The sequence below is a fragment of the Homo sapiens genome, chromosome 4, assembly GCF_000001405.40.
Source record: "Homo sapiens chromosome 4, GRCh38.p14 Primary Assembly".
Classification (NCBI taxonomy): Eukaryota; Metazoa; Chordata; class Mammalia; order Primates; family Hominidae; genus Homo; species Homo sapiens.
In genome coordinates, this window is record NC_000004.12 from 145,593,123 (window position 1) to 145,615,912 (window position 22,790).

The 22,790-nt window shown below is 37.7% G+C and overlaps 1 long non-coding RNA gene across 2 annotated transcripts; it reads left to right on the top strand.

Annotated features, from left to right (window-relative positions):
* LINC02491 (long intergenic non-protein coding RNA 2491) lies at window positions 5,910–7,739 on the top strand. Of its 2 annotated transcripts, none has more exons than NR_183953.1 (2): window positions 5,910–6,232; window positions 7,274–7,739. It is a non-coding gene; the product is annotated as a long intergenic non-protein coding RNA 2491 (long non-coding RNA). The 2 variants fall into 2 exon arrangements; NR_183954.1 differs by having other exon boundaries at window positions 5,910–6,182.

The window sequence follows — 22,790 nt, forward strand, 5'->3', positions numbered from 1 at the left end:
TGTTATTGGTGTATAGGAAAGCTTGTGATTTTTGCACATTGATTTTGTATCCTCAGACTTTGTTGAAGTCGCTTATCAGCTTAAAGAGATTTTGGGCTGAGATGATAGGGTTTTCTAAATATACAATCATGTCATCTGCAAACAGGGACAATTTGACTTCCTCTTTTCCTAACTGAATATCCTTTATTTCTTTCTCTTGCCTGATTGCCCTGGCCAGAACTTCCAACACTATGTTGAATAGGAGTGGTGAGAGAGGGCATCCTTGTCTTGTGCCAGTTTTCAAAGGGAATGCTTCCAGTTTTTGCCCATTCAGTATGATACTGGCTGTGGGTTTGTTATAAATAGCTCTTATTATTTTGAGATACATTCCATCAATATCTAGTTTATTGAGAATTTTTAGCATGAAGGGCTGTTGAATTTTGTCGAAGGCCTTCTCTGCATCTATTGAGATAATCATGTGGTTTTTGTCTTTGGTTCTGTTTATATGATGGATTACGTTTATTGATTTGTGTATGTTGAACCAGCCTTGCCTCCCAGGGATGAAGCCTACTTGATCATGGTGGATAAGCTTTTTGAGGTGCTGCCAGATTCAGTTTGCCAGTATTTTATTGAGGGTTTTTGCACTGATGTTCATTAGGGAAATTGGTCTAAAATTCCCTTTTTTGTTGTGTCTCTGTCAGGCTTTGGTATCAGGATGATGTTGTCCTCATAAAATGAGTTAGGGAGGATTCCCTCTTTTTCTGTTTATTGGAATAGTTTCAGAAGGAATGGTACCAGCTCCTGTTTGTACCTCTGGTAGAATTCAGCTGTGAATCCGTCTGGTCTTGGACTTTATTTGGTTGGTAGGCTATTAATTATTGCCTCAATTTCAGAACTTGTTATTGGTCTATTCAAGGATTCAGCGTCTTCCTGGTTTAGTCTTGGGAGGGTGTATATGTCCAGGAATTTATCCATTTCTTCTAGATTTTATAGTTTATTTGCATAGAGGTGTTTATAGTATTCTGTGATGGTAGTTTGTATTTCTGTGGGATTGGTGGTGATATCACCTTTATCATTTTTATTGCGTCTATTTGATTCTTCTCTCTTTTCTTCTTTATTAGTCTTGCTAGCGGTCTCTCAATTTTGTTGATCTTTTCAAAGAATCAGCTCCTGGATTCATTGATTTTTTTAAAGAGTTTTTGTGTGTCTCTATCTCCTTCAGTTCTGCTCTGATCTTAGTTATTTCTTGCCTTCTGCTAGCTTTTGGATGTGTTTGCTTTTGCTTCTCTAGTTCTTTTAATTGTGATGTTAGGGTATCAATTTTAGATCTTTGCTGCTTTCTCTTGTGGCCATTTAGTGCTATGAGTTTCCCTCTACACACTGCTTTAAGTGTGTCCCAGAGATTCTGGTATGTTGTGTCTTTGTGCTCATTGATTTCAAAGAACATCTTTATTTCTGCCTTCATTTCGTTATGTACCCAGTAGTCATTCAGGAGCAGGTTGTTCAGTTTCCATGTAGTTGAGCAGTTTTAAGTGAGTTTCTTAATCCTGAGTTCTAGTTTGATTGCACTGTGGTGTGAGAGACAGTTTGCTATAATTTCTGTTCTTTTACATTTGCTGAGGAGTGCTTTACTTCCAAGAATGTGGTCAGTTTTGGAATAAGTGCAATGTGGTGCTGAGAAGAATGTATATTCTGTTGATTTGGTGTGGAGAGTTCTGTAGATGTCTATTAGGTCTGCTTGGTGCAGAGCTGAGTTCAATTCCTGGATATCCTTATTAACTTTCTGTCTCATTGATCTATCTAATGTTGACAGTGGGATGTTAAAGTCTCCCATTATTATTGTGAGTGATTCTAAGTCTCTTTGTAGGTCTCTAAGGACTTGCTTTATGAATCTAGGTGCTTCTGTATTGGGTGCATATATATTTAGGATAGTTAGCTTTTCTTGTTGAATTGATCCCTTTACCATTATGTAATGGCCTTCTTTGTCTCTGTTGATCTTTGTTGGTTTAAAGTCTGTTTTATCAGAGACTAGGATTACAACCCCTGCTTTTTTTTGTTTTCCATTTTCTTGGTAGATCTTCAATCCCTTTATTTTGAGCTTATGTGTGTCTCTGCACGTGAGATGGGTCTCCTGAATACAGCACACTGATGAGTCTTGACTCTATTCAATTTGCCAGTCTGTGTCTTTTAATTGGAGCATTTAGCCCATTTACATTTAAGGTTAATATTGTTATGTGTGAATTTGATCCTGTCATTATGATGTTAGCTGGTTATTTTGCTCGTTAGTTGATGCAGTTTCTTCCTAGCATTGATGGTCTTTACAATTTGGCATGTTTTTGCAGCGGCTGGTACTGGTTGTTCCTTTCCATGTTTAGTGCTTGCTTCCTTCAGGAGCTCTTGTAAGGCAGGGCTGGTGGTGACAAAATCTCTCCGCATTTGTTTTTCTGTAAAGGATTTTATTTCTCCTTCACTTATGAAGCTTAGTTTGGCTGGATATGAAATTCTGGGTTGAAAATTCTTTTCTTTAAGAATGTTGAATATTGGCCCCCACTCTCTTCTGGCTTGTAGAGTTTCTGCCGAGAGATCCGTTGTTAGTCTGATGGGCTTCCCTTTGTGGGTAACCCAGTCTTTCTCTCTGGCTGCCCTTAACACTTTTTCCCTCATTTCAGGTTTCGTGAATCTGACAATTATGTATCTTGGAGTTGCTCTCATTGAGGAGTATCTTTGTGATGTTCTCTGTATTTCCTGAATTTGAATGTTGGCCTGCCTTGCTAGGTTGGGGAAGTTCTCCTGGATAATATCCTGAAGAGTGTTTTCCAACTTGGTTCCATTCTACCTGTCACTTTCAGGTACACCAATCAGATGTAGATTTGGTCTTTTCAGATAGTCACGTATTTCTTGGAGGCTTTGTTCATTTCTTTTTACTCTTTTTTCTCTAAACTTCTCTTCTCACTTCATATCATTCATTTGATCTTCAATCACTGATACCCTTTCTTCTACTGAAGCTTGTGCATGCATCACGTAGTTCTCGTGCCATGGTTTTCAGCTCCATCATGTTATGTAAGGACTTCTCCACACTGTTTATTCTAGGTAGCCATTCATCTATTCTTTTTTCAAGGTTTTTAGCTTCTTTGCAATGGGTTCGAACATCCTCCTTTAGCTCGGAGAAGTTTGTTATTACTGATCGTCTGAAGCCTTCTTCTCTCAACTCGTCAAAGTCATTCTCCGTCCAGCTTTGTTCTGTTGCTGGCGAGGAGCTGCATTCCTTTGGAGAAGAAGAGGCACTCTGATTTTTAGAATTTTCAACTTTTCTCCTCTGGTTTCTCCCTATATTTGTGGTTTTATCTACCTTTGGTCTTTGATGATTGTGACGTACAGATGGGATTTTGGTGTGGATGTCCTTTCTCTTTGTTAGTTTTCCTTCTAACAGTCAGGACCCTCAGCTGCAGGTCTGTTGGAGTTTGCTGGAGGTCCACTCCAGACCCTGTTTGCCTGCAGCCAGTGGAGGCTGCAGAACATCAAATATTGCAGAATGGCAGATGTTGCTGCCTGATCCTTCCTCTGGAAGCTTCATCTCAGAGGGGCACCAGCTGTATGAGGTGTCAGTCGGCCCCTACTGGAGGTGTCTCCCAGTTAGGCTACTCAGGGGTCAGGGACCCACTTGAGGAAGCAGTCTGTCCATTCTCAGATCTCAAACTCCACACTGGGAGAACCACTACTCTCTTCAAAGCTGTCAGACAGGGACGTTTAAGTCTGCAGAAGTTTCTGCTGCCTTTTGTTCAGCTATGCCCTGCCCTCAGAGGTGGAGTCTACAGAGGCAGGCAGGCCTGGTTGAGCTGCAGTGGGCTCCACCCAGTTTGAGCTTCCCGGCCACTGTGTTAACCTACTCAAGCCTCAGCAATGGTGGATTCCCCTCCCGTAGCCTTGCTGCTGCCTTGCAGTTTGATCTCAGACTGCTGTGCTAGCAGTGAGCAAGGCTCCGTGGGCGTGGGACTCACCAAGCCATGCGCAGGATATAATCTCCTGGTGTGCTGTTTGCTAAGGCCATTGGAAAAGCGCAGAATTAGGGTGGGAGGGTCCTGATTCTCCAGGTACCATCTGTCACAGCTTCCCTTTGCTAGGAGAGGGAATTTTCCAACCCCTCGCACTTCCTGGGTGAGGCGATACCCCACCCTGCTCAGTGGGCTGCACCCACTGTCTGACAAGCCCCTGTGAGATGAACCCGGTACCTCAGTTGGAAATGCAGAAATCACCCATCTTCTGCATCACTCACGCTGGGAGCTGCAGACTGGAGCTGTTCCTGTTCGGCCATCTTGGAACCTCTCCTATAAATTTCAATTCAAAGGCCAAATTCCTTTCAAAAGGAGTTTTGTGTCTTTCCCGTTTTCTGTATTGAACTTTGTGTTCTAGTTGCTAACCACCATTTACAGTCCAGAATGTGCAATGAGATGGCAGTCAATGCATAAATAAATACTTGTGAACTGCTAATAAGTGTCTTAGAAAAGGACAGTCATTTTCAAGTGTTCATGTCAACATTACCTTATAGGCAAATGTGTTAACAATACACACAGCCTTGATCAGCTGTGGCTATGTTAGTCAAAATGCAGCTGTGAAGGGATTAAGGAAGGGCTAAATCCTTTCTTAAAAATTGCATTAAAATGTAACACAGAAGAAAAAAAAATGAATGAAAGCATGTATGAATTTCCTAAACCTACAACATTTGTGCTGATAGTTCAGACCTGCATTTTAACATTCTACATATATAGTTACACATATAAAATATTTTTATCATTGAAAACCATATTGAGGACAAATATTTACTGACATGGGAAGAACTTTGTAGTAGACTGATAATTTAAAAATCAGGTGAAAAACCAATTTGTAGTGAATGGTGCCACTGTAGTGGATAAGTGTATATATATTTATTAAAAAGAAGAGAGCTGAGTTGATACGCAGAAGCTGTTAACAGTGATTACCCCTAGACAGTGGGGTCATGGGTATCTTATGTTACTCTTCTTGCTGACCTTTTTCCTAGTTTTTCTTCAACAAGGTTGCATTGTCTTTTTAATAAGAAAAATAAATATTAAACATACTGTATAACAAAAAGTGTTATGATCACTTGTCAGCAACTGAGCCACTGATATTTGCAGTGATCACAGAAGCATGCATGAGAAGCAAATAAATAACAATAAATTCCTTGAGGCCAACCTTTCTCAAAGTGTGTTCCTGAAAACACACATTCACAAAATTCTCTGTGAAAAGCATAAACAGGGTTGATTTTTAAGACCTATAGCCATGTTGGCAACATTTTAAAAAGGACTCTAAATCTTTTGTAAATTCAAAAGGCACTATGGAATGTTCTGCAGTAGAGAAACCTCTACAGCAATTTCAGTTGTTGACCCTCCAACAATATGGGTATTCTTTGTGAAGTTTTGGGGGAGTCAAAAGTTGCATGAAGATTTTTGCCTGTATGGAGTTGGTGCCCCTGACTTTTAGGTTGTTCAAGGGTCAACTGTACTTATTTGACCACAGATCTATTTTTTTCATGGAACACCCATTAATATTTCATGGTCCCCACTTTAGGAAATGCCATCTTCGTTCATTTTGTGTTGTTATAACAGATCACCACACACTATGTAATTTATAAAGAAAAATAATTCCTTCTTACAGTCTTGGAGGTTTAAAAGTCCAATATCAAAGTGCTAGCATCTAAGGAGAGCCTTCCTGTTGCATCATTTCATAGTGGAAGGTGGAAAAGGAAGGTGGAAGGTCAAGAAAGGATGCTCCAGAGAAAGCAAGATCAAGAGAGGCCTGAACTCACTTTTATAACAAGCCCAGTCTCATGGTAACTGACCCACTCCCACATTAGCAACAACAATCCATTCATGAAGGCGGAGCCCTTGTGACCTAACCACCTCTTATTAAGCCCCACCTTCCAACACTGTCACATTGGGGATTTAGTTTACAGCACATGAACTTTGGGGGACACACTTAAACCATAGTGCCGTCTTCAGTCTGAGAAGAATTTCTGTCTTTCATTGAAGTTCCAAAGGCTTCTTATTTTGATGACTTTGCCTAAAGAAGGGATTCTACAGCCAAATGCTTTCTTTTTAACATACCGAATGAGTAAAAGTGCAAAATAAGTACAGAACTATCAAACAGCAACAAATGTGCTTCTGCTGCCTACCACAGAATTTTCCTTGGTAAGAAGAAAACCCTACATTACATTTCTTTTTGGCTTCTGTCTCTGCAGGTAAGAGGAAAGTGGACACCCCACAACAAACTACAAGGAGTTTCAATTTTCACCTCCTAGCCCTAATTTCTCAGGGTTAGCCCTCTTCCTGGTCTTTTCCAATCCACTCTCACTTCCTCCAGTTGGTAGAAATGATGCTTCAAAAGTCCTAATGAGAATTTCCAGAGCTGGATTCCAGCATTAACAGATCAGTAACTGGGTGTTTGGTACCCACAAGGCTAACAATTTGGGGTACTTTTTTTTAAGAGATAGGGTCTCACTATGTTGCCCAGGCTGGACTTTAACTCCTGGGCTCAAGCGACCTTCTCACCTCAGACTCCGGAGTAGCTGGGAATACAGGTGCACACAACCACGCCTGGCTTTAAGTACATTTTAATCACAATTTAAAAATCGTAATAAAACAATTACTTTAATGTGGCAAACTGTAACAAAATTTGCCATTTTGACCATTTTAAAGTATACAATTCAGTGGCACTATATACATTCATATTATGCAGCCATCACCACCATCCATTTCCATAACTTTTTCATTACTCCATATAGAAATTATGCACACATTAAACATTAACTCTCCATTCTGATCTCCCCCTAGCCCTTAGTAGCCTTTATATTAGTTTCTGTCTGTGTGAATTTGGCTATTCTAGGTATCTGATATAAGTTGAATCATACAATATTTGTCACTTTATGTCTGGCTCTTTTCACTTAACATAATTATCCTCAAGGTTCATCCAAAACATAATATTTTTCACTTAATAATGACTGTTTCATATCAGTGAAAGGGATGATGTTTTCTGTAACTTTTTTCCAAGATAAAGAGCCCAATGCAGTCCATTTCTTTCCTGACTCTATTTCTGCTGAAATAGCCCTAATCATAATTATTGGTCATCGGGATTGGTAGAATTGTTCAGGACCTCTGTCTGATCATTCTAAATATATCATTTAAACATGTACCCAGAAAGCATAGTATTTCTTTCTCAGCAGTAAGTCAGGTACTAGAGGGGAAAACATCACACTTAATAACTGGAATGTCCTCTGTTATAGCCTCAGAGTTGATGATGAATGCAGTCCTGCTCCACTTTGATTCCATCTGGCTCTGGAAGGTGTTTCTGAAGATTTGTGAACAGCATTTGAATTTGTTTGTTTTTATTTATATTGTCTTTTTACTATGATGTATAAATATGTCCTGTAATGTCATTGATCTATATGATGAGTGAGACAATCAAGTGTTAAAATGGAACTTGTTGATTAGGATATTTATACCATAGTTTAGTTTTCTTAAGAAACTCTGACAGACACGATATTTAAAATGACTAAATTTACACTTTGACATAAGGCTACTAAAAGGTAGAATATACCATTGAGATATGCCACTTGAAAAAACTACTTTTAAAAAAATGGCATTACTGGTGTCATGAAGAAAAGAAATGCTTTTATCTCAACCCTGGTTTCAAAAATTTGTGTAAAAATTTTCACCTCAATAAATAGTTTACTTCTGTGTAGAAAAGGAGACTTATGCTTGCTGCCAATTTCTTCACAAAGCATGCTTAAAAGATAAACACTTGGGGCCACAGTTTGAATGTATTAACTACTTCACCAACTATTTTCTGGGGACAAAGCAATGCATAAAGGACATTCATCTTTATCCATGTAAATATTTTCTTGTTGAGCACATACTGCTGTTCATGTCTTTCTAGCCTAAATCATAGTTCACAGAATAATTGTTAACCACATGGAAAACCTCCCCTAGCATGGGGTTGGAGCCATAAACTAGCCAATAAGTCATTGAGCACTTTTCTTTCATATATTTCTGCATATTTCTGTCAAGCGCTGATTGATACTCTGCACACCTGATTCTTTCCAAATGTAAGCCAAGTATCTGCTAGCATGTACTCCTGATAAGACATTGTTCTTCTGTGCTGTATGCCATTAATATTATATGATGTACAGTAGTTCACTTGGATTATGAAATTGCCAGTAGCTAATTAAAGTTTCTTCCTGAGCATGGTAATGATCATTAACCTTAGAGCTGGTTTCAGAAATTTCTTAGTGATAATGTGACTTCTATATTTCTTTTTTTGATGTGTAACTTTGAATAATGTTTATTTAGTTTTAGTCTCTTCTCCATCTTTAAATGACAAAATTTATCAATTTCATATTAGAAAGCATTATTTTGTGCTTGTTCAGGAAAAATTCAATTGGTTTATCAGAAAGGTCACGGAACTATGAAAGCAATGCAAAAGCTCCTGTGGCTTCTTGCCATTCTTTAACAAAGTTTTGTAACAGACAATGCAATAGAAACTAGAGGCAAATTGATTGCTGGTCTGATAAAATCCAATTTTCACATATTCATCAAGATTCACTTGTTTTAGCAAATACAGCTTCATATTTGATATTTGCATTGAATTCCTGTTCCCTGTTTACATTTACAGTGTTGTTCTATTTATATTACAATTTTCGTCACTACTTTTATACTTTACTTTTAAATAACTGATTTATTTCTGTGAATTGGCTATCATGACACAATAAAAAGTCTAAAGCTGACAGATGTAAATGACATTTAAATGTGCAAAATCCAATAGTCAAGGCAAAGTGCACCATTAACTATTAGCTGAAATGAGCAACTTTTAGGAAGAAGCACAGTGATTATTAAGCATGTGACTAGCTTTCTATAAAACATAATAAGTTAATCTTAACTCTCAAGTTTACAGAATAAACATGAACTAAATCGTTTCCTTGCTGTTTCCTCCTATAGCTAGCCTGGGAAACACCAATGACCCATAGTCTACCTGGGATCAGCATTTCCCCATATGGTATGATTTTGGGGTATTGGGATGGCTGCCTGTCCTCCAAAATAGCTCATTATTTAAAGCCATCAAGTTATTTTTTTCTTCCTGTGACTGCAAGATAGATCTGGCTCATAAAACTCAAGGCATGTAAGTACTGTGTGAACCAATTGCATAACATGTCCCCACTACTCCGGAGATTGAAGCAGGAGGATCAGTTGAGCCCAGGAGTTCAAGGCTGCAGCGAGCTGTGATTGTGACTATGAATAGCCACTGCCCTCCAGACTGAGTGACATAGCAAAACTCTGTCTTAAAAAAAATACTCAAGGCAATTTTTATGAATATCATGGAGCCTATACCATTAAAGGCAGCCTATAGACATGAGCTGCATATAAAATAGACATAGTCCCTGCCTTCCCAGAGCATGATTCAGATCTTAAATAAATAAGCATGAATAAACTGCAAACTACCAACTGTAGTAAGTGCTGAAGGAAAAGAAAGTTAAGAGAGAATAATAAAGTGAAGAAGGGTGTCTAATTTAAATTGTTGGGTCAAAGGCAAGCACTGTGTGAGCTCTTTCCTTTGAGCTCCTCCGTCGGAGGAATAATCCACAAGTACTAAATACAGGTACTTAGTATATGCCATTTTTCTAATAACATTTGTGTAGTATAGGAATGCCTGCAAATAAAAGATGCTTTTTCTATCATTCATTTACTTTTTTTTAGTGCTTACAATATTAAGACATTTTTCTAGACTTGGGGGCAGGGCGGTGCAGATAGGGCACAGGGTGAGTAAGACAGACAAGTTTTCTGTGCTTATGTAGTTTTTGTTCTAGAGGTGAGATGTTCCTCTTCAGAATATGGAAAGAGAAAAATATAACTAAACTCTGGAGTAAACTACTTAAAAAGTTTATGAAGTTCACCATGGGGATAAGAAATACACTCGTGCCCAACAACCCTTGACTGTAGCCAGACTGAATATTTAATAATCTGTTTTTTAAAAGGGCATATATCAATCAGAAGTAGTGATTAGCAATGTAGAATATAAATGCTCACATGGAGCTGGTGTAGTAGGTATTACAGATTGTTGACACTAGCCATTACTATCACCTTACTCCTCTTCTGATTGAAATTTGGCCTCAAATAGAAATTTGCCTGTGGAGAGAATTATTAATAAGAACTGGATATGCTGTTGGCATTTTGGTCACATGTATTAGTGTTTGGGAAAGTATCTCCATGAATCTTTACCTGAGGAGACTATAAATTAAGCTTTGAGCCTGCTAGGCCAGGGACTGGCTCTGGATTGAGTGCGGGGCCATCATCCCCAAGTAGTGCCCCCAGGGCCTGTATTGGGCTGGCCAGGCAGCTTTCCCCTTGAGACTACTGGCTTTAGGGTTAGTTTTTTTTTTTTTCCAATCAGCAATTTGAATTAATCAATTATCAGGAGATATTTTTGAGATATTTCATCAACTATCCCTAGAAAGACAATAATGATTTAAAATGTCAGACAGGAATGGTTATTTCAAGGCTTCATAAAAAAACCATCTTTAAAAGATTGGCTGATATTCCCAAGTGCTATCAAAATAGGCTAGAAAATGTTGGAGCAATTGAACCCACAATTTTTTATCCTTTTATAAATGCAGTTGCTGTTCTCTAAGGAAGAAGACAGGCTAACGCAGCCAACAGGGTTTTTTTTTTTTCAAATAAATTAATAAATTAAGTAAACAGACATTTCTTTTATTCTGTCAGCTGAAATAGTGCATAAGATCAAAAAGAAACATTCAGCATTCAGTCTTGTCTCCCTTTCTTATGAAACTGAAAAGAAACAAAATAAGCACATTTGAATTTGGTGTAAAGAAGACTATTTATCATAGACAGTTGAATATTACTCATCTGAGACCAAATCTACTCATTTCCAGTTCAGCAAAAATACACAAAGAATTTGATAAATATTGAATTACGCTTCAGGGCAACTGCTCATGCTTTTAATATAATCTTTTTTTAAAAAAATTCTTTCCTTCTACTTTGAAATTAAAGTCCATTACCAAATATCATTTTAAAAATACATTGTATTTCTTTTTGTCTCATCCTAGGGAAGAGCTGTTGCTTGCTTTTACACCACTACCTTTAGTTATTTTTCTCCTGAATGAGAGGAAAGAAAGCTTGAACATTTGTAGAAAAAACGCAGCAAAAAGAAGAAAAATAGGCAGACTGTAAAATGATGTGGTCACGTTAGCTATATTGCATATACTATTGTTAAGATCATGTGTTTAGAGACATTAACTTAGATTTTGGTAATTATTTTGGAAATTTATAGTATTCAGTTTATGGAGCTTTGTGTAAAATGGAGCATACTTAAGCAACTGAAAACAATGATTAGCTTTTCTAAACTTTGCACATTAAGATCATGGGGCATTTTTAAATGTTAGTTTTTTTCATAACAATTAAAAGTCCTCTTTGCATATTTAACTAAAATATGAAAGTGGGAGACAGACACTGCTAACATGTTGTGCATTTCCTCCAGCATCTAAATAAATAAAGATAGATGTAGATCTAGGAATCACACATTACTAGATTTGATAATGCAAGCAGAAAACCCTCAAATCTTCTGTCTTTCCTATTTTCTACCAAGGCACCTGAAAAGAGATGCCTCTGTCACAATCCCAGCTTCATGTCATGCCTTTGCTGTCATTTCCTCACCTAATCAACCAATTTTCCCTAGACTATTAATGAAATAATGCTTCCTTTCTCCATTTATTTAGGACACCATCTTTCTCATAATTTTTTGTGGTTGGTATTCTGAATCAAGCATTCTTTTTTTTTTTTTTTTTTTGAGATGGAGTTTCGCTCTTGTCACTCAGGCTGGAGTGCAATGGCGCAATCTTGGCTCACTGCAACCTCCGCCTCCCAGGTTCAAGCGATTCTCCTGCCTCAGTCTCCCAAGTAGCTGGGATTACAGGCATGTGCCACCACGCCTGGCTAAGTTTGTTATTTTTTTGTTTTTGTTTTTGTTTTTGAGATGGAATCTGGCTCTGTTGCCCAGGCTGGAGTGCAGTGGTGCAATCTCAGCTCACTGCAAGTGCCACCTCCCAGGTTCACGCCATTCTCCTGCCTCAGCCTCCTGAGTAGCTGGGACTACAGACGCCTGCCACCGTGCCCGGCTAATTTTTTGTATTTTTAGTAGAAACGGGGTTTCACTGTGGTCTCGATCTCCTGACCTCGTGATCCGTCCACCTCGGCCTCCCAAAGTTCTGGGATTACAGGTGTGAGCCACTGCGCCTGGCCCTAAGTTTTGTATTATTAGTAGAGACAAGGTTTCACTATCCTGGCCAGGCTGGTCTTGAACTCCTGACCTCAAGTGATCCTGCCTGCCTCAGCCTTTACCCTTTATTTCCTATTACATATCAGACCCTCCCTTTCAAATCACTTTTCTTCAGTTCAAATTACATCTTTTATCATTTCTTCTTTGAGTTTTGCACTGCTGGTAAACTCTCTTTTTTTGTTGTTTTTTTGTTTGTTTGTTTGTTTGTTTTTGGTCTGAAAATGTCTCTACCCTCATTCTTAAAAAACGATTTTATTGAATATAAGATTTTAAATGGCAGTTATTTTCTTTCAACATATTAAAGATATTTCACCAGCTCCTGGCTTCCAGTGTTTATTGTTGGTCTAAGTGAGGTTCCTTTGAAAATAATCAGTCTTCTCTTTTCCTACGGCTTCTTTTTAAGTGTTAAGTCCTTGCTTTTCTGCAATTCAGTATGTGTCAAGATGTATATTTATTTTTGGTTTCTTTCATTAGTCCTGGAAAATTCTCAGCTATTATCTCTGTTCCATATCTTTCTTTCTCTTCAACTGGAACTCTTATCAGATGTATAATAGATCTTCTTAACCTAAGAAACTCTTAAATGAAGAAGCTCTAAGCTCTGTGTTACATAAACTCTGGTTTATACTTCCTACTTCTTTTTGTCTCTGTATTCTGAATAGTTCTTACCAATCTTCAAATTCACTAATTCTCTTTTCAACTTCTTCTTGTGTGTTGTTAATTCTATCCATTGAGTTTTATATTTCAATTGTTATATTTTTTATTTCTAGAAGTTTGCTTAGTTCTCTTTTAAATATGCTAGGTTTTTAAAAAAATAGTTTCCTATTCCCTGAAAATACTTGGTTTTTCATTTTCAAAGCATAGTCATTTTATTTCCTGTAACTGGAATATTACAATATCTAAATTAATTGTATATTTGTTTCTGCTCTTTGTTGTTTTTTGCTGGGTCTTGTGCATAGTGACTTATTTCCTTGTGGTTCTTGGTTACGTTTGTCTGTGAGTTGCTTTTTGTTTTTCCTTGGAAAATTATTTTTGAGTTGTCTTAGAGGCCTAAAGTCAAGATGCCTTTGCCTCTGACTAGTGCATAGAAACACCATCAGTTTGGAAACAACTTAAAATTATGGTTTAAAGTTTTTTGGACTACCTTGGTGTTGTAAATACTGTGTGAAAAAGCCTGATGCATTCATATGCTCACAACTTTTCAGGGGTGGTTATTTTCCAGCCCTGCTCTGCTTAGAGCCAAGTTAACCTTCCTGGCAGAGGTGGAGCAGGTTCATTTCTGGTTTATCTTTTTTCCTGAGGGAATATCGTTTTGGTATCTTGGCTTTATGGCAGAAGGGCCTCCTTTTAGATCTTCACATTGTTCATCTCAAGTACACACTAGGCTTTGAGTTCTGTTTTCCGTGCTCTACAAGGCCACTGAAACCAAATTCGCTTGGTTTAGCAAATGCTTTTAGGGCAAAAGCAGTTTCAATGCTGTGCTCCTACCTTGGGTCTTTCCTCTTTTTAGGTTTTGCCCTGGAAATGTCTTACTACCTTATCATATCTTTATTGCTTAAAAGGATTCACTTTTCATGTGCTATACAGCATTTTAAGTTATTCTTTCCTTCAGCCGGGAATGTTGGTCTGAATAACCCAGCCTGCCATACAGCTGGAAGTGGAAATCTTCTTTTGTAATTATAAAAGCATATCCAAGTGTTTCTATCCCCCTTTTCATTCCTAATGTATTAGGTATTTGTGGTGTGTGTGTGTGTGTGTGTGTATTTGTGGTGTGTGTGTGTTTGTGGGTCTGTGTCTCTGCGTGTGTGTGTTTCTTAATTAGAAATCTCCAGGGCATTTATCTTTTTTTGAGACAGGGTCTCACTCTGTCATCCAGGCTGGAGTGCAGTGGCACAATCATGGCTCACTGCAGCCTCATCCTCCCAGGCCCAAGCAATCCTCCCACCTCAGCCTCCCAAGTAGCTGGGGGACCACAGGTGCATGCCATCATACCTGGCTAATTTATTTTTATTCTTTTTGTAGAGACAGGGTCTCACTATTTTGCCTAGGCTGATCTCTAACTCCTCGGCTCAAGCAACTTCCCACTTCAGCTTCCCAAAGTGCTGGGATTACAGGCATGAGTCACCGCCCTCTGTCTTCAGGGCATTTTTGTATTATTTTTTCCTTCAAAGACACAACTTTTGGTATACTTATAACTGTAATGGCTTTTATTTAATAATTCTTTAATTTTTGTCTTTATTTTTCTAATTTCCTTTTCCTTAAATAATATATTTTGTTTGAGTTCATCTTCACATGCATCCCATTTGTTTTGTAATTTTATATACTTCTTTTCTAAAGGAGCAATAATTATTGTTTTTATTTCCTTTTTGTCATATAACTTATTTGGGATAATCTCCTTCCCAAATTTCTAAATGATTGCTTTTTTCCCCTTGTTTAATCATTTGTTATTCATTTTTATTGTATTTTATTACTTTTAGAGAATGTGATCTAAGTTTTAGATTATTTTCTAAATACTGAGTTTTTAATGGCCTAATGTTATCAATTTTAGCATATATTCTACAGATCTTTGTCAAAAAGAAATAATCATATTTAGGGTCTAACATTCAAGATATACATGAACATAAATAGGTAGATAGATATTAATCTTTTAAATTATAATCTTGGAATTTTTTTGACTACTTGATTTGTCAGGTCATTAATTCAAATGACACAGTTATAAAATGAGAATCTTTCTTAGGGGTAACATGTCTAAGCAAGTTGTTATCTACACATAAAGATATTTTCCCTTATATTACTTCAGAATATTTAATATTTTCATTAACTAACAATACTTGGCAAAGCATGTGATTAGTGTCTATAACAAGATTGTTTTTTCTCACTGTCAGATTTTAATCCCCTACTTCCCTTTCAACATTGAATACATATAAACTACGCCAGAATGGTCTTTCTATGTCTTCTTTCTCCAGTAAGCAACATGATGACCGTGGGGTTTTTTGGTGTATGTGGAAGGGGAAGGTGGGTTATGTTGTGGACTGGCATCTGTGTCATATTTTGTTCTTACCAACCATACAGTTAGAACAAAATGGGCAAGAGTGTAACCTCTGAGTAGGACTTTGGAAAGTACCCCCCCCCCCAACATCCTTAATCATTATAAGACTTATTTATAGGAGTAAAATAGTTTCTCATATAAAATTTGAAAACAGCATCTGCAATATAATCAGGCAGGAGGAAAATGGTATATTTAATCACATCACTCCAAGGCAACCATTAATAACTAGTTTTGCTTCTTTCCTTCTAATATTTCTTCTAGAATTGTTTTACATAATTGAGACTCTTCTGCTATTATATAATAGGCATTTTCCATTATTAAAAATTATTTAACAGAATCATGTTTAAATGCCTTGACAATATACTATTATTTACTTAATATTTCTTTAATATTAAACTGGCATTTCCAATATCTTTGTATTATTAATTATGCTTTGGTGAATTTGTTTTCTTTCTATCCTTTTTTTTGTTTTGTTTTGAGATAGAGTCTTGCTCAGGCTGGAGTGCAGTGGCGCGATCTCAGCTCACTGCAACCTCCGCCTCCCAGGTTAATGTGATTCTTCTGCCTCAGCCTTCCAAGTAGCTGCGATTACAGGTGCCCACCAGCATGCCTCGCTAATTTTTGTATTTTTGGTAGAGACAGTGTTTCACCATGTTGGCCAGGTTGGTCTCGAACTCCTGACTTCACGTGATCTGCCTGCCTCAGCCTCCCAAAGTGCTGGGATTACAGGCGTGGGCCATAAGTAACACAGTGGATCCCTAACTTTTGGGTGCATCCAAAAGCCCTGAAAGGCCTCATTCCCCAAGTTTCAGGTTCAGTAAAAGTCTGAGCGTGGCCAAATAATTTGTATTTCTAACATTTCAGGTGATGTCAATGCTGCTGGTCCAGGGACCAAACTTGGAGAATCACTGTAATAATGACATGTAAGGATTTGTTTCAATAATTTCTGAAAAGCAATGCTTCTTCCTTCTATTGTTGTTTCCATCTTTGATAATGCAGGGAAAAATAATACTTATTTTAGATTAGAAAAGGAAGTAGTAATGTCTATTAAAGGTTTTTAAAAATCTTTTAGTCATTGGCTTTTGCTAACTCGTTTGCACTGATTGTGGAATCTTACTGGAACCATTTGACCCTGGAGCTACATCACTATACAGCTGGTCTCATTTTTTTTAAGTCACCTGCCCTCATTTAATTCATTTCCTTTGGTGTTTTCCTTCCTGTGGAAAGTCTCTGACATCTGTCCTACATACTTCCTTATGAATACAAAAGCTCATCTTTTTTATTTTTAAGTTTTATGAGTCAATTACTCTTACCCTTTTTGTATTTGTGATGTTTTCATTCCTTATGTTTTCAAAAGACACTCTAGTCTATAATTATTTATGATTGCTCTTTAAAAAAATTTTTAAACATCTTTTACTACATTCTGTTGACATATTTAGGTCTGAGCCTAATGTCAAATACTAGCAGCAGATGACTTCTCACTTCACTGGCACCATCATGTGGTGAAATTGTGCGCTACATCGAAACATTTGCCAACATGGTGCCATTTCATCACATCTTATGTATAGATAACACTGAAATTGGAACTATCATAATAAGTTAGGGAATCTGAAATAATCCTGTTACTTTAGTAAATTCACAGAAAAGTAAGCACCAATGATTAAGTATGTGGACACTGAAGTCAATTACATGAGCTCAAAGCCAGACTTTTATACTATCATGTAACATTTGGGCACATTGGTTAATCTCCCTGAGTCTCAGTTTCCCTGTATGTAAAATGGGATAACAGTAGCATCTATCTCACAGGGATGTTGACAATAGCCATAAAATAGTTTAATAATATCAGCTGCGATTAGTTGTTACCATGCCATCACATTTGATTTTCCCTTTATGTTCATACCAAGAAAAGAAAATCAGACTTCCCCTGTGAGTTTAGAAAATTATACCAAAATGGAATAATTGTTTTCAGAATTATTAGAAGTAACATGAAGTTAAAAACTGTAAAAGATAAAGGTTGAAAAAACATTTAAATAAAAGTCATTTTTTTAAAAAGGCAACTTCTGGAAAGAAAGGTCTATGAACTCTATTTACCAAGTGAAATTTGAAAATTAATCTCATTATATTAAGCATAATCGACAGTCAAAATAAACAATTGTGAAGATGAGTAACTTAAAACCTTTTTAAGGGTCAAAAATACTTTTTAAAATTAAAAGTGATTTATAGTCCCCAATCCTCTCAATGATCTATTGAAAGAGAAATGTTTAATTTTATAAATCCTTGAAAGAGATACATGTGGGACAGATCTGTATGTTGGAAATCTTTCTATTAAAAAATAAATTATTTTATCACGATAATAGTGAGAGTAGAAGAAAGCATGCAGGGTTGCTGTGATTTGAATGTGTTCCCCAAAGTTAATGTGTTGGAGGCTTCATTTCCAATGCAATGGTGTTGAGAAGTGAAACTTTTGAGAGGTGACTGGGTCCTGAGGGCTCTACTCTCATTAAGGGATGAATGGAGCCATTATTGCAGGAGTGCATAATTGTCATGGGAGTGGAGTTCCTGATAAAAGGATAAGTTCAGCCCCCTTCCCTACTCTTTTCCCTTGCCTACTCTTTCCCTCTCTTGCCCTCCAAGCCTTCCACCATGGAATGATGGAGCAAGAAGGCCTCACCAGGTGTGGGACCCTTGATTCTGGACTTCCCAGCCTCCAGAACTGTAAGGAATAATTTCTCTTCTTTATAAATTACCTAGTCTGTGGCATTCTGTTATAGAAGCACAAAACAGACTAAGACATAAAATTGGTGTTGAGGAGTGGGGCTGTTGCTACAACAAATACCTGAAAATGTAGATGTGGCTTTGGAACTGGGTAACAAATAGAGGCTGGAAGAATTTGGAGGAGCAAATAGAAAAGCCTCGACTGCTGTGAATGGAGCACTGGGCAATTCTGGTGAGAAGACAAGAACTGTGAGGAGAGCCTAATCTTCTTAAGGATTACTTAAGTGGTCATGACCAGAAGGCTGGTAGAAATATGGACAGTAGAGGCCATTCTGATGAAGTCTCAGATGGAAATAAGAAACAATGCATTGGAAACTGGATTAAAAGCTATCCGTGTTTTGCAGAAAATTGTGATGGAACTGTGTCCATTTCCTAGGACTTTGTGGAAGGCAGAACTTAAAAGAGATGAACTAAAATATCTGGTGGAAGAAGTTTCTAAGCAGCAAATTATTGAAGGAGTTGCATGGATATGTTTAACTGTATACAGCAAAATAAGATAAAATGTAAGATATGAAAGCTACACACACACACACACACACAGAGAGAGAGAGAGAGAGAGAGAGAGGGAGAGAGAGAGAGGTGATTTAGAATTTATACCGAAAGGGAAGCAGAGCAGAAAGATTAGGAAAATTTGCAGCCTGGGCATGGAGAGTGTGTTGTCCAAAACACCACCAGAATGCCTAAATGGTAGAAAGGAGAGCTTTATTGGCAATATCAGTTTGCAAACTGAGAAGAATCAATGGCATGTGCTGAAGGTGCTCTTTTTTGAAGATGAAAAGGGCAGGTTGGCCCTTATGCCTCAAAGGGCTTGTGCAGTCATACATATTCGGCAGGTTTGGGGAAAAGCTATACATATTTATGTGGAGAGTTGAGTGCATGTGCAATAGGCAGGCATATATAATGTATAACCCATGTTCACTTTGGGGTGGGGTTTTGGCATTAAAATGGGGTGAAATTTGGCTCCATGTTAAAAGGTGAACTGTAGGATACGAAGACTGTGCACAGTCTCTATAAGCTTGCTGAAACTTGCTTAAGGTCTATACTTACTCATTAGGAAAGTGTGTTTATAAGGTAGGTCTTCTGTCCAATCAGAGTTGAAGTGGTCTGAGTTGTAAATCAGAGTTTATGAGGGCTCTTGATAATTTACATGAAAGCTCCTATTGTTAGGGAGTTTAATAAGAGTGTGTTTATTCTTATAGCCATAGGAATTTAGAAGTTATCATGTCAGCTGAGCACTGAACCCTCAAAGAAAAGTATCTGTTTCTTTAAACTTGGGGTCTGTCTTAGTTGATAAAGGGGCATCTCTTTTGGTTTCTCAGGTCACAAGTAAAATAGTGTCTTTAGGACAGCAAACCGAGGATATGGCCAAGCCACTATTTGCTAAAGAGGTTAGTATGGCTAGCAGGAAACCAGGTGATATTCATCAAGACCATGGAGAATGACCTGAAAGGAATTTCAGACATCTTTGAGGCTCCCTTCCATCACAGGCCCAGAGCTCTAGAACAGAATGGTTTGGGGGGACAACCCACAGTGCCCTCCGTGGGCTTGCTGCCCAGGGCGACTTCCAGACTCTGCTCCCTGTATGCCAGTGCTGTAATCCTGTCACCCCAGCAGTGGTTCAAGCAGGCCTGGCTGTGGCTCAGGTTGCCATTCCAGAGGACACAAGCGGTAAGCCTTGGTGGCATCATGTGGTGCTGATTCTGCAGATGTGTAGAATCCAAGAGCTGTGGGGACATGGTGACTTCCACCTAGATTTCAAAGAATGTGGACAGCCCAGTAGGTCAATGCCTAGTGGTCTTGAGAGTGGGGCAGCTCCCAAGACCACAAAACTGTAGGGCTACCAGCATGCAACTCCAACCTGGGAAAGCTGGAGGCATGAAATTTCTATCTGAGCACTGCTGGGTAGACAGTCCACCAAAGCGGTAGGAATGGAGCTGCCCGAGGCCTTAGGGACCCTGCCCCATCCTGGTGTGCCCAGGATGTGGGATATGGAGTCAAAAGAGATTATTCTCCAGCTTTAAAACTCATTTTTCTTATTGGATTTTAGACTTGCTTGGGTCCTGTTACTTTCTTCTTGCCTATTTTTCCCTTTTGGAATGGGAATGTCTATCCTATGCTGTCACAACATATATATATATTTGGAAGTAGATAACTTGTTAAATTTCACAGGTTCACAACTGGAAAGGAATTTGCCTCAGGGTGAATTGTGCCTTGAATCTCACCCATACATGATTTACATGAGACTTCGGTCTTTGGACTTTTGGACTGATGTAGAACAAGACTTTTGGGACAATTGGGATAGAATGAATGTATTTTGCATGGTGAGAAGTCATAAAGTTTGAAGACTAGGGGTGGAATGCTGTGGTTTGAATGTGTCCTCTGAAATTCACGTTAGAGGCTTGATCCCCAATGCAACAGTGTTGAGAGGTGATTAGGTAATGAGGCCTCTGCCCACATAAACTGATTAATGCCACTTCACAGGAATGAGTTGGTTGTCACAGGAGTGAGTTCCGCATAAAAGGATGAAGCCAGTCCCCTCCCCACCCACCCCTCTTCCCCTCTCTTGCCCTTCCGTTTTCTGCCATGGAATGACACAGCATTAAGTCCCTCACCAGAAGTGAGCCCCTCAACCTTGCACTTCTCAGCCCCCAGAACTCTAAGAAGTAAATGTTTATTTTAATCTTTATAAATTACGCCGTCTCAGGTATTCTGTTACAGCAGCACAAAATGGACTATTTCCCCCAACCCCTTCAACACCATGTATAATCATTAAATAGAATGAGTAATCTTGCCAGAACCACAATCTTACATTCAGTTTCCAAACTGTAGTTTCCCCCAGATAGTTAGCATTGTTCAATGAATTTTTGTTATGCCATTATGCAAATGTAGTCTATGTTCATTATCTCTGTACTTATTAAATTCATCAAAAGCTGTCCAGGAACAGATTTTCTGTTTTGTCAACTACACCCATAATCTTGTTCCCAGATTTTTCATCAGTATTTTCAGACTGTGAGGGAAGGAAAGCAAGAAATGGGAACAATTTCATGAATTTTAAATATGCTGTAACTCTGTTTTAGTACAATAAAATATATAACCGCCGTCTGCAGTTGCTTCCAGCATACCCCAATCTCAGGGCAGTGCCAGGTTAGTGCAGTTGGTTAGAATGTGGCAATATGTCCATAATTATTTCCCATGTGAATCAATTGGCTTGGCTGTGCAGAGAAGAATGTCTTCAGTGTCAATCTGAACTTTTGAGGCCAGCAGTCTGGAAAATCTGTGCCTTTGATTATTGAGATTTGGAGATTTCCAAAGAACTATTATTGACTGCTAATTCCATTGTGGTTGGAGAACAATACTTTGTATGATTTTCATCCTTATAAATTGAGACTTATAACCCAGAATATGGTCTTTCTTGGCACATGTTCAGTATGCATAAATATGGCACATCTCTCCATTTATTTAGCTCTTTCATTTAAGCAATGTTTTGTCACTTTAGGGTACAGCTCTTGCATGTCTTTCATTAAACGTATTCCTAGGTATTTATAATACAGATGCTCCTCAACTTATGATGAGGTTATGTCTGAATAAACCCATCCTAAATGGAAAATACTGTAAATTGTAGGGGGGTTTTCAACTTAATATTTTCAACTTATGATGGGTTTATCTGAATGTAACCCCATTGTAACCTGAGGAGCATTCTGAATGTCTATCACTTTCACATCATTATAAAGTAAAAAAAAATCGTAAGTGAAACCCTCATAAGTCAGGGATCATCTGTACTATTATAAATGGCATATTTTAACATGTCATTTTCCAATTGCTGCTTACTAGTATATAAAGTATTTTTTTAATATATACTGAGCTTTTACCCCATGACTTCAACATCCAGTAGACGTTGAAGATTTTCCACATGTACAGTCTACAAAAACAATTTATTTAGTAGCTTTGAAAAACAGATTTTCTACATAGACCACTGTGAATAGACAGTTTTGCACTTTTGTAATATTTATCTTTTATTATTTTAATTATTTATTGTACTGTCTAGAATTTCTGATACAAAGCTGAATAGAAGTGATGAGAGCCGACAGCTTTACCTTGTTCCCAATCTTAGGATTGGATATTTCACCATTAAGCATAATAGCTATTGATCTTTCATAGATGTCCTTTATAAAGTTCTCTTTTATTTCTAGTTTTGTGATTGTTGTCATCATGAGTTAGCAATAAAATATGTCAAATGCTTTTTCCGCCATTATTAAGATTTTCTCCTTTATTAATGTTGTAAATTATTGTTGATTAATGTTGGGCAAATCTTGCATTCTGGATAAACTGCAATTGGCGATTTTATTTTATTTTTTTCTGGGTTCAATTTGCCAGTATTTTCTATAGGAATTTTGCATCTGTATTAGTGAGTAATATTAATTTGTGTTTTTTTTCCCTCTAATGTCTGTTAGATTTTTCCGAAGGTTCTGCTGTTATTCCTTCCTCCTCTATTCTCTGAGTTTACATAAAATTGACATTGTGTGTTCTTTAAATGCTGGATAGAATTCACTAACGTGGATGGTTTTCTTTGTATTTTTAAATTGCGAATTCAAATTCTGTACCAGATGTACAAATACTCAGATTTTCTATTTAT